The 13,218-nt window shown below is 37.8% G+C and overlaps 1 protein-coding gene across 10 annotated transcripts in view, besides 1 other annotated feature; it reads right to left on the bottom strand.

The window, feature by feature from the left end:
• Nucleotides 1-13,218, bottom strand: part of CTNNA2 (catenin alpha 2) — a 1,463,404-nt gene that overhangs the window by 1,092,869 nt on the left and 357,317 nt on the right. The window lies entirely within an intron of this gene.
• Nucleotides 2,695-3,196: an enhancer, noted in NCBI's record as "NANOG hESC enhancer chr2:79779842-79780343 (GRCh37/hg19 assembly coordinates)". NCBI's record gives its function as "activates a minimal SCP1, AML or CMV promoter by ChIP-STARR-seq in primed H9 embryonic stem cells {active_cell/tissue: H9 hESC(primed)}" and the evidence as "EXISTENCE:reporter gene assay evidence [ECO:0000049][PMID:30033119]".

Genomic DNA, 13,218 nt, shown 5'->3' with positions numbered 1-13,218 from the left:
ACATTTCACTGAGAAATTAAATCCTCAAAACTGTCAACAACAATATTTACATTTTTCACATTTGTTTACTTACTCAGCTCAGTCTTTGAATAAGGAGCTGTATGAACTTTTTCTTTAGTCAAGGTCAGTGGGTAACACTGAGATGTGTTTGCAATATGAACATTTCTTGTATCTTTTGAGTAATTATTATATCATTGACCTTGGTAAATCCTAATGTGAAATATGGAAACGGCACATAACTAAGAATAAGAAATTCAATGCTCTAGTCAGAATTCTGTTCATGATACAGAATTCAGTTCACTATAAATCTGCTTCTTGCATGAAATGTTTTAATAGCATTTGAGAATAAAATAATATATTCTAACACAATTCAAATAAAATAGAGCAGTTAAAATGTTAAAACACAGGAAATTTCTTAAATGAGATCCATGACTGCCTCTTCTAAATTCGTAGTATGTAAACTCATATTAACTATTGAAACTTACAACATGAATGAAAGCTTTTGAAGTAAAACTGTCTTATTCCTTAAAGTGATGCCAGTTTCACTCTCACCTTTCCCTCCCCATTCAAGAGGATGCTTTTGAGGGAAAGGCTCAGGGTGGGGACTACTGGGTGTTTTCTCAGCTACACTATATTCCAGTGTATGGCCTTATTCAATAATTTTCACATTTTGCTTTTGAAAAGGCAAGAGTAAATTTGCCAAGAAAGAGAAAAGTGATAGAACAGTTTTTTGTCACCTAGGAATCCTAAGGATGTCACCTGCATCTCAATTTGCATAAAAATAGGACCCACAAAGGAATGTGCCCTAAGGCAAAAAGAGTGCTAGACTCTTGACTGTGAAATCTGCTCCTAATTCCTAATAAACTTTTAGCCAGGTGGGTGGCACTGGGCTTTAGCCTCTAAGGGCTCTTTTGTTTTGCATCTTGAAAATGAGCAAATGCAATTAAATGGCTGCTAAATGGCATTTAAAATATCCTGATACCAACTATCAATAGGCTTAATACCCATTTTGCTCTGTTTGGATTTTCTATTTCATGCCTCTTGGATAGGACAGGGTAAATTCACAAAGAAAGAAAACAAACATAAGAAAACTATGACCATGGAAGTATCACCATTCTCCTCATTTATGAAATAATGACAATAACCTCCATTTCTGTGGAACTGTTTTGAGAACAGGATTAATTTAATAGAGTGTCTAGCACAATTTGATGTTGGGTATGAGGTGTCTGGAGCCTTCTATCTTAATGATCTATTTTTCACTTTTTCTAGAGGTATTCCTGTAGGAACCTTGAAAATCTAACAGACATTGGATCCAGAATCATTGGGCTTTTTGAAACATCCTATGGCCTGGCAATGGGTATGACAAAACTACCTTAATAATTAGATGTGTCAGTCCCACTGGAAGATAAGCTTCAGAATTACCCCTAAGCTAATGTAAGTGCTCTCTATAGTACAGTGTATAAAATTATATGGTAATACTATATAGCATATGTCCTCTCATAATTTTCAGGATCTCCATCTACAGTTCTTTTCCCAAACAATCCTAAGGAAGATATTGTGATCAATTAATACAAACTAACCTTGAGTGATTTTCTTCAAATAATGTTGCAAAGTAATTTACCTCAATATGTAGAAGGCTATCGTATCAGTTCCAACATGTATTCTGAGTCTTTCAAATACAGATTTGTGTTTTAAAAAAAAAAAGGTTTCATGTGCCATCAGGTATTGATGGCTACAAGAGGGGCCAGCACATGAGTGATAAGCAATTCTCCATCCACCTTGGCTAAATGGAGACAAAGCTTTACATTCACAGGTCATTGCATGCAAGAATGATACAGCAGATCAGATGTAACCCTTCAACAGCCCAAATCTATTTGTAGTGTGAAAGGAAAACAAAAACCTTGGGACCCAAACTCACTATGTCAAATGGAAAAGTCAAGCTTGAGAACTGAGTTGCAAAACTGCCTCCTATTTTGTTCCTAAGTAGATAGCTGCAAAGATAGAAGTCCACATACCTCCCCAGGTGGCCTCCCTTACAATGTGCTCACAAGAAAATTCTTTGTGAGCCCCAAGATATTTACCCTATTTTATGGTTTGTATTTGTGTCCCCACCCAAACCTCATATTGAATTGTAATCCTCAGTGATAAGAGGAGAAGCCTGGTAGTAGGTGAATGGATCAAGAGGGCAGACATCCCCCTGTTGTTCTCATGATAGTGAGTGAGTTCTCACAAGATCTGGTTGTTTAAAAGTGTATAGCACTTCACTATCTCTTCCTCCTTCTCCAGCCATATAAGATGTGCCTGCTTCCCCTTTGCCTTCCACCATAACTATAAGTTTCTTGAGGCCCCTCCAGCCATGCTTCATGTTAAGCCTGTGCAACTGTGAATGAATTAAACCTTTTTTCTTTATAAATTACCCAGTCTCCAGTAGTTCTTTACAGCAATGCAAAAACAGACCAACACAGAAAATTCATACCAGGAGTGGGGCACTGCTATAAAGATACTTGCAAATGTGGAAGCAACTTTGGAACTAGGTAACGGGAAGAGGTTGGAACAGTTTGGCAGGCTCAGAAGAAGACAGGAAGATGTGAACAAGTTTGGAACGTCCTAGAGACTTGTTGAATGGTTTTGACAAAAATACTGATAGTGATATGGACAGAGATGGCCAAGCTGATGAGGTCTCAATGGAGAGAAGGAACATATTTGGAAATTTGAACTTGAAAGTAATGATTTAGGGTATGAGGGGGAAGAAATTTCTAAGCAGCAAAATATTCAAGAGCTTATATTCAAGGGCAAAAAAATGATTGGGAACTGGAACTCATATTTAAAAGGGAAGCAGAGTTGTAAAAGTTTGGAAAATTTGCAACCTGGCCATGTGGTAGAAAAGAAAAACCCATTTTCTAAGAAGGAATTCAAGCCAGCTGCAGAAATTTGCATTTGTAAAGAGGAGCCAAATGTTGATAGCCAAGATAATGGGGAAAAGTCCTTGAAGGAATTTCAAAGACTTTTGTGGCAGCCCCTCCCATTACAGGCCTGGAGGCCTAGGAGGGAAAAATGGTTTTGTGGGTCAGGCCCTGGGCCCCACTGCTCTACGCAGCCTCAAAAAATAATGCCTGGCATTGTGGTTGCTCCAGCTCCAGCCTCAGCTAAAAGGGACCAAGGAGCAGCTCAGGCTGTTGCTTCATAGGGTGCAAGCCAAAAGCTTTGGTGGCTTCCATGAGATGTTAAGCCTCAGGGTGTGCAGAGTGTGAGAGTTGAGGCTTGGGAGCCTCTATCTAGATTTCAGAGGATGAATGGAAATGCCCGGATGTCCAGGCAGAAGTCTACTATGGGGCAGAGCCTTCAGGGAGAACCTCTACTAGGGCAGTACAGAGAGGAAATGTGGGGCTGGAGCCCCTACACAGAGTCCCCACTGGGGAACTGCCTAGTGGAGCTGTGAGAAGAGGGCCACCATGCTCCAGACTCCAGAATTGTAGATTTACTGACAGCTTGCACCATGTGCCTGGAATAGCTGCAGACACTCAATGCCAACCGGTGGAAGCAGCCAAGGGGGCTCCCAGTGCCTTGGGAGCCCACCCTTGCATCACTGTGGTCTGGATGTGAGACACGGAGTCAAAGGAGATTACTTTGGAGCTTTTAGGTTTAATGATTGTCCTGCTGGATTTCAGACTTGCATGGGGCCTGTAGTCCCTTTGTTTGGGCTGATTTTTCCCTTTTGGAATGGGAGTATTTAGCCAATGCCTGTACCCACATTGTATCTTGGAAGTAACTAACTGGTTTTGATTTTACAGGCTCATAGGCAGAAGGGATTTGCCTTGTCTCAAGTGAGACTTTGGACTGTGGACTTTGAGTTAATGCTGGGATGAGTTAAGACTTCGGGGGAATGTTGGGAATGAAATGTGAGAAGAATATAAGATTTGGGAGGGGCCAGAGGTGAAATGATATGGTTTGGATTTGTGTCCCTGCCCAAATTTCATGTCAAATTATAATCACCAATGTTGGAGGAAGAGCCTGTTGGGAGGTGACTGGATCATGGGGGCAGACTTCCCCCTTGCTGTTCTCATGATAGTGAGTTCTCACAAGATCTGGTTGTTTAAAAGTGTGCAGCACCTCCCACTCCCTTCTTCCTCCTTCTCCGTCCATGTAAGATGTGCCTGCTTCCCCTTTGCCTTCCACCATGATTGTAAGCTTTTTGAAGCCTCCCTAGCCATACTTCATGTACAACTTGTGGAACTGTGAGTCAATTAAACCTCTATTCTTTATAAATTACCCAGTCACAGGTAATTCTTTATAGCAATTTGAGAATGGCTTAATACACCCTGAAACAGAGTTCTGTTGAATTTCACTCTGACAATGTAAATTGACAGCTTGTCTCCACAGTTTTGGGACTAACGCAGGTGTAGAGGTTATCCTTCTGCTCTCACCTGAGACAAATGTATATTTGACTGCTTGCTTGACTCTGCATTTACTTTATCTTATGTAAAAATGTAATTCCCTGAGCACCCTCCTTTCACAAGTAAAATGTGGATTCAGTAAATATTAATCAAAACCTTAAAAAGAATGTAACCTCTTGCCTCTTTTATCTACCCTCCCCCATTTTTCCATTTCCTCTTTCCCCTGTTGCCTTCTCTTTCCCCTTTAAATACTGAGGTCCTCAAAACCTCTTTGGAAAAAGCACAGATAATCACAGATGCTCCTGAGGTTTTGTTTCTTTTTCCTGGGTCTATCTTCAACCTTGGCAAAATAAGCTTCCAAATTTGGTAGAGACTCACCTCAGTTTTTTTCTTTGGTTTGCAGCAGCTATATAGTGACGAATAGTAGAAAATATTAAAACAGACACAGCTATAAGAACAAGCTGCAAATTTTTTCTCACTTCCTACAGTAATAATTTTTATTTATTGAAATGTTTTTTATTGACTTATCAAATTATCACAGATTCCATTATTCCTCTATTCCTCCACTCTTCGGTGATGAACCTGTGGTTAATATTCCCTGTAAAGGTCTTTAGATATAGTGGGAAGGGCACAGCAGTCCTTGGAGGCAGAACTGAGTCCCAACTGCAACTCTCCCATTCATCAGCTAGGTGACTGTGGGTATATTAGGTTTCTCATCTATGTCTTAGTTTATTCACGTTGTAAGGTCTAAAGGAACTATGCAGTCCTACTGGAACATAGCTGAGATTCAGACAATGCTAGGAATCCAAACCCTGCTCGCAATGCATGGTATTTGGTATAAAAAGATACTGAATGAAAGAATAAAGGAAAGAATAAGTAAATGAGTGTTGCGCTTAATACAGATGTAATGGTCATACAACAGGGGTAACATTTGGGCATTTTAATATTTGGCCTTCTCATCTACAATATTTCTTTACTTTTATTTCATAACATTCTGCCATTGCAATTCGGCTATGGCTATGGAGTGGATGATGTGGTGTGAGGCCTACATCCTCCTTTCAATACCAAGATACTGATTCCCTCACATGCTAAGAGTGACGTGCACTGGTGGCTCATTGCTGAGTCTCCCTCAGGAAATTGTCTTTGACTGCAGAAATGTGCCTTGCCCAGAGTCATGGCCTCTTCTCAAGGAAACACAGCATCCAGTGACTGCTCAATTTAAAGGTCCGAAGTTCTAGCCCTTTTACCTCAAAAAGAATAACTCTGAAGAATCATTTCGTCTCCAGAACTCCCAAGGGTATCAGCTGAAGATCATAAAGGTAACCAGAGTGCAGAAAGGGGAAATTCAGACATTTTGAGAATAGTTAGAAACAGAATTTCACTTGACATTGATATCCAGGGAACTGAAACATTATTGTGCCCCCTCCCTCACCTCCTACCTCTAATTAGATTGGAGAATGCAAGACAGTCAGGCAATAAATGGAGTTCCAGCCCAGTTCTGGCTCATAGTGGGTCCACTAGGTCCACGGATCTAGCCAGTGATTATTTTACTGGCCCTTATATAATTAAAACAAACATACCTGTAAATAGCAGAACTCTCGGTTTGGCTCTTTCATCTTAAAGTCAAGCATAAGTCTCAGATATTGCCCTCCTCCTAGTTCTTTCAAAATAGTATATCAAAAACAGTATCATATAACAGGGGAAATAGCAGATAAAGAAACCAGGGGTAGTGGTCCTCCCATGATATCCCCAATTAATACACCATCTGGCACTACAAAAAACAGATGAGTCCTGACAGATGACAGTAAACTTCCACAAACTTAACCAAGTAGTAATCCCAACTGCAGCTTCAGTGTCAGATGTGGTATTTTTTTTATTATGACAAATTAATATAGCTTCATGTATTTAGCCATTGAGCTGATTAACATATCATTTTCCAAAATACTGGAAAAGAGTTTTGTAGCAGTTCATAGTTACATGACAAAGAAAAGAGTATATACTTATAATCTGGCACTAGGGTTAAACCAATTCTCTAGTCTTTTGTCATACTGAACTCTGAAGGGATCTAAACCATCCTGGATGTTCTGCAAAACATCACATTTGTATACTATGTAAATGACTGTAAGTTAATTGGACCAGATGAGCAAGGAGAAAGCGCAATGCTTTGCATTAAGCTCATTCCACGTGTGTGAATACTGCCCCGACCCATGTGCTAAGAGGCATGAAAGTTATAGGAACCATGGGAACTAATAATAAAGCTCCACCAAAAGACATTTAAATTCTATTTGTTGAAAAAACAGTCTATGGCCAAACCAAGTTTCCAATCCCTATATCTTTTTTAAATGATATAACGGAGGAAGGAACAGAGAATTTGAAATAATAAAGACAGAATTCAGCCTTACCTGACTTCTGAGAAATTTGTTTTTGGATGGACAATCAGAAATAAGCCTGAGTTTCTGAAGTATTACTATGCACCGTATGCCCTGTGGACACATAACCATTAAGCGGCAACGGACCTTCACCAAAATGAACAGCCTTTTATTTGAAAGACATTTCTATGTGGGTTGGCAGCATCAGACAGGGGTCAGCTCAAGTGCCTGGGATTGGGAGTTGGGTACATGATGAACAGAGTGACATGGAGAAGGCTGCAGCAGCTGGCCCATCATACATGCAAGTCAGGTAAAGAGGAGCAGGCACTGTGGGGCAGGCCAGGCCAGCTGAACCTGGCCCAACAGAGAGTGTTGCATTCACAGAACTCTCCACTTACTCAAGAAATCAGAGAAGGGAATATAGAAGCTGAGTCATTAATGGTCCAGTCCCAGACATGGATCGCCTTCTAGGATATGGTTGTAGATTTCACCAAATTCACTTCTCAGCAGAACATATACAAATAAGTGATGCATTAGTACTATGAGAACCCAGTTTCCTTTGAGTGTCAGCTTCCCAAACAGATGTGATTCTCTAGATGGAGAAAGGTAAAGAATCATAGCTGGTGGAGAACTGGCCAGATTCAGTGACTATCATGGAAATCAAATCATCAATTTCTAACAATAGCATTTCTGAAGATAAACAATTCTATGACATTAAAATGGAAGAAATGGAAAGGAATGATTTCTCATATTTGTCATTAAAAATGGAAATGTGAAAACAAACTAGACAATTATCAGGAAAATGAGAAGAAACATTTAAGATAAGAAACATTCACACAAAACAAAGTGCTTAGGAGAGTCTGTGAAAGTGATAAATACTGGGGACACTGTATCTTTCATGCTCATTAGTACTTAAAGAGTATTTCCGTTAAGTATGATTCAAATGTTAAAAGTTTAAAACATAATTTAGTTTAGTGGTCATCAGGCAAACTATGTCAGTAACAGTAATAAACGTACTAAAACCTTTTGTTAAAACATTCACCTGATTCAATTTGCGAGAACTCAAACAGGAGATAAACCCTACAATGATAGCAATAAGTTTCTTACTTATAGTACATCCCTTGGTATACCTAAGGGTGTAAATAAAAAGACAAACACCATGAATATCAAGAAGATGCAAAATTCTTCAAATGCGGTTCTCACTACATTAACATCATGTAACTCACACTGGTGAGAAATCATAAGTAGGTAAATAATGCATAAGCATGTGAAAAAGTCTTTAGCTGGTTCTATCACTTTTTTTCTATATTAGAGAACTCATACTGGAGACAAACTGTATATATGTAATCAGTGTGGAAAAGTGTTTGGTATTTTCCATGTGGTAGTTTCATTAGACTTGAAAGAAATCATACCAGAGACAAACTCAGTGATAGTCCTGAACTTGGAAAATCTTTCAGACAGAACACTCACCTCATTATGCATTACAGAACTTTCATAAGAGGGAGGCCCTACGAAGATAATGAATTTAGGAAGTCTTATATACAGAGGTCTCATGTTATTATGCATCAGATAATTCACAATAGGATGAAATAATACAAAGACTAAAAAATACTTCAGTTGAAGCTGTCACATTTTCTTCACATCAGAAAACCCTGCTGGAGAGAAGCCATATGAATGACTTGATTGTGGAAAATTCTTCAGCCAGAGCTCTGACCTTATTGTGTGTCAAAAAATAGAAAGAGAGCAATCATATGAATGTTGTCAATGTAGAAGTCTTCATCCAAAAGAATAACTTCATAAAGTATCAAACAATTTCTCATATGGGAGAGCAATTCTTAAAATGTAATCATTGTGGGACAGCTTTTGTTTATATATCTAAATTTATTAGGTACCAGATGAAGCATATTAGAGAAAACACTCACTAATATACTGAATATGGAAAATTAGTCACAAAGAGTAATACATTTATTTTGCATCAAAGAGTCATTCTGGTGAGAAGCCCTGTACTACCTATGGAGAAATGTTTTAAACCCTATTATGATCCCTATTATGTACCAGAGAACTAGTCCTAAAGAAACACAAGCACTCACACACACACAAACACACACACACGCATGCATGCACATTACATTTTAGTAAACAAGTACATCAAGCGTTCTTTTCACAAATTCCACAAATTTCTAAAAAATTAGTTGGCCTGGAAGCACTGTTGAGCAGGCCTTAAGGCTTGAATCTGGAAAGGAATCATTACATAGGCAAGTTGTTGAGATACAACCCAGCTTCCTTAACTTCTTCAAAATAAATAAAAATGCTATTGTAGGGAGAACTGTTGCTGAGAAGACTAAAATATGTATATAGTTATTGCAACAGAAGTTGCAATAATGTACAATCAATCAGTATTCCAGTGAGTTAACATGCCATTGCTTACTTGATTGCTCCACCCCTGGGGACAGTTGGTAGTTTTTAAACTGTTGTATGTGTCTGCTATAAACCACATTTTGGTTTGTAGCAGGGCAGTGTAAAGCAATCAAAGAACAACACATTTATATTATTCTTAGTACCTATTTTTAATATATTTGCATATTGGAAAGAATTAAAAGAGCAGCTACAGATTATAAACAGAAGCAATTTGCCAGATAAAGGGACTATAAGGAAATTACATTTTTATAACTTATTCAGTGCTACGGTAATAATAATTTGAATACAATTGTAAATACTTTTAAAAAGATGGTTTCTCTATTCTACTCTGAAGGATGCTTGGATACAACTGGCTGGAAAACTTTCCCATGAATTCTAACCTGTTTTAGGTTGGAGTTACAGTTCTGCTCTAAGACATGGTTTTAAAAGTTCCTGAGAATTTAAGGATGCTAAATTCTCTAACTTAGGACCTAGAAAAAACACTGGATGACTCAGGGGAAGATGCCATCTGAGTGAGAGTATGTGCCTCACTCAGTATTGGCAATATTTATAGCAACTCTGCTCACATGAAAAAAACAAACCACTCACTGTACAAGGCTAACTCTAATGTTAGTCTTGTATCTTCCTAAAGAAAACATGGTTAAGAACAGCAACTAGAGTTTGACTGCTCAGGTTCAAACCCCACCTCTTCCCCAACTAGCTGGGCAATCTTGGGTATGGTACTTAGCTTCTCTGTGCCTGACTTACACACATCCTTCTCTGCTAAACTGAGATAATAGTAGTACTTACTTCATATGATTGTTGTATTAAATGAGTAAATATATAAAGAGCTTAGAATAGTGCCTGACACATATGAAGTGCTTTATAATTACTAGTTATATTTATTCATATTATAAGTATTGCTCCTATCTAATTTAAGCTTGTTTGAGTACTTATATTATGAGCATAAAAAAGTAAGCTTTTACTTCACTTTCAGTCACTTCACTTTCACTCCTGATTTGCCTAAATCGAGAGTTATCAACCTGGGAAATCACTGACACCTAGTGGGTGTATGGATTCATTTGTGAAGATCAATAAACTCACTTTGAATAATATTTTTTTTAAAAAAAGAAAACAACATCCCCCAACTACACAAATGTGTTTTCATCATTTTATCATTTTAGTGTGTTTATAGTTAAAGTGTTTGATGTAATTAGGATATGAGGCCACCTGCTATAACAAAAGCCAACAGATCAAGGAGTTAAACCAGTTCCTTTTTCTCTCGTGTAACAGTTGGCATATACATAGTTCATATTTGATGTGGCTGCTCCATATCACGGATGTGGGCTCCATCTATTGTATTACTGTGGCATCCTCAATGTACAGCTTCCATTTTGTAACCTAGGTCCTCTTACTGTAACTCAACTGAGCCTATGGACAGGGAGTGGGGAAGGAGAAGTGAAGGCATGCCGCTTCTCTCTAAGCATAGGGCCTAGAAGTTGCACACAAAACTCAGCTCCTCCTTCACTGGATATAACTTTCTGAATAATCACATGTAGCTGTAAGGGAGGCTGGGACATGTATTGCACTATGTCCAATTCAGGAGTTGTATTACTAAAAAAGTATGTGAGAGTGAGTAAGGGGGCTGACAACTGTCTCTGCAACGGTGCTATCATGTGATGCTGAATTTAAATATTGTGTAGATATTTGGAACTGTGAAAAATATTGTGTTTTTCCTTTTTCTTATCTTTCTGGATAGCCCCGGCCTATTGCTCCCTCAGGTTATAACAAAACAGAACCATTATCATATGCTCCAATTGGGCACAGAATGGGACTCTCTCTGCAAGTTAGATGTCCTTTGAATGGAGTTTTAAGATTGACAGTTGCTTGCTTCCTCTTCCAAAGTCAGTCTACCTGAGCTGGGAAGTTCACCCAGAGCTCAAGCAAGGGAGGCCAAGGCAATATTTCTTTGTTAGGCCACTTGGGCTCTAAATACCTGCTAAGCATTTTCCTTGGGTAACTCCTAGAATTTAAGAAGTGATTCATCTTCATTTTGGGTCTCATGAAAAAATCAATATTCTTTGTGTCACCAAGAAAAAATTCTGAAGCTAGACATATTCTCACCAAGTCACTAAAACCTAATATAGCTATGTCCCTGCACTTTCATAAAAAGCTTATTTTCAAAAACTGCCTTTATCAGTTACACAAATTTGTCTTACCTATCTTCTATGCTACAGAAGGCCTCTGAAGTGGCACCTAGACTAGGAACTGGTATAGTTACCTTCTAGACCCCAGAAATCTTCCCATTCCCTTTACCAAGAAAAGTTTGTTTCAATTGCTTCACTTACAAAAGAAAAGAAAAGAAAGCCATGTTCATGGCTTCCCAAGCCAAAATAGTCATTTTGTGGTTTGTCTTTCAGCTCAAGAGATTATGGACTGACTTCTCTAGACTTAACCTACAACTCAACTGATTTATTGCAACTACACACTATTCATTCAAAAATTTCCCAAACCAGCTGGGCGCGGTGGCTCATGCCTGTAATCACAGCACTTTGGAAGGCCAAGGCAGGTGGATCACTTGAGGTCCAGAGTTTGAGACCAGCCTGGCCAATATGGTGAAACCCTGTAACTACCAAAAATACAAAAATTAGCCCAGTGTGGTGGCGCACGCCTGTAGTCTCAGCTACTCAGGAGGCTGGGCAAGAGAATCTCTTGAACCCAGGAGGCAGGGTTTGCAGCGACCCGAGATCATACCACTGAACTCCAGCAGACAGAGTGAGACTCCATTTCCAAGAAAAGTCCCCAAACCTGGATCTTGTTGACTAATTTTGTCCAACTCTTCCCTTGTCCAAGAATACTTGTTGTCCTTTTCTACTTTAATATTTTATAACGAGAAATTTAAATCACAAAGTCTTTTTTTATTCTTTAATATTTTCAAATTGGTGTTAATGAAATTTTGGTATCATGATAAAGGCATAAAATGGACTTTGTAAAACAGATGGACACAATGTTTTATTTCCAGGTAGTTCTGCACTATTATATAGCCTATGAAACCATTTTCATTATAAATCATATTTTCATATATAATCATCTATTAAATGATCTGTTCATTGCTAGTGAAGCATAAAACCAACACATTAAACAAGGTCCAATTGGGTGTGACGGAAGCAGTGGAGCTACTAAAAAAAAGTTGTCAGATTGAAAACCATCAAAACAGTCAAAATAATAAGTGAGTCAAAAATGTATTTCTAACTGCTGCTTTTATAACCAGCAAGCTACAGCTGTCTATCTTTAAAAACATCTTTAAAGAAATATTTGAATTAAGGTAACACTAAATTTACATATTAATCTTCTTAAGAAGAAAGGTACAACAATGCTTAGTTACTGAAATAATAACTTGATTTCACATTTCAAAGTAAAATAAAATCCTAACACTCTTTTATAGGATATCCAGCTCATAACGATTGCTTTGTCTTTTTTGGATATTACACGGTTTTGTTTCAATGAAACTTTACAAATATTTTACCAAACTTCACAAATATGTTTTAATGGAAAATTATGAACGTGTTCCGAAATAGTAAAAGTATATATCAAAGATCTAATGTCGTACTTGAAAGTCAATTTTACATCACAAAACAGCCAGGTTCCAGACAATTCACTTAACACTGTAAGCTAAAGTTTATGAAAATACTTCCCAAGAAGAAAAACAGAGCATTTATAAATGGTTGAAAATGAATTTGAAATTTTAAAAACACATGAGTTGTTTTTAAAATGGTAGAAAATGCAAACAAACTATTAAATTTATTAAACTTACTAAGCCCCTCCATATTCTCATAAGTTGATAAAAATTCTTAGTGACACATTAAGCAGAGAAATGCACTACAGTGAAAAAAATCAGGACATTAATATATAAAGAAAATATTCATTTTTGATAGTTTTTAACCAGTTTACAGGAGATAGTGAAATGGTCTTACTAAAATAAATAAATATGTGTGTGTATGTGCATGTGAGATTTCCAAAATTAAAGCAGCTCTGTTCTATGCTAACATTTGTAAAAT

Source organism: Homo sapiens, chromosome 2 (assembly GCF_000001405.40).
Source record: "Homo sapiens chromosome 2, GRCh38.p14 Primary Assembly".
Lineage (NCBI taxonomy): Eukaryota > Metazoa > Chordata > Mammalia > Primates > Hominidae > Homo > Homo sapiens.
The sequence above is the reverse complement of the archived record's forward strand: the minus strand, read 5'-3'. Positions and strand labels throughout refer to the sequence as shown.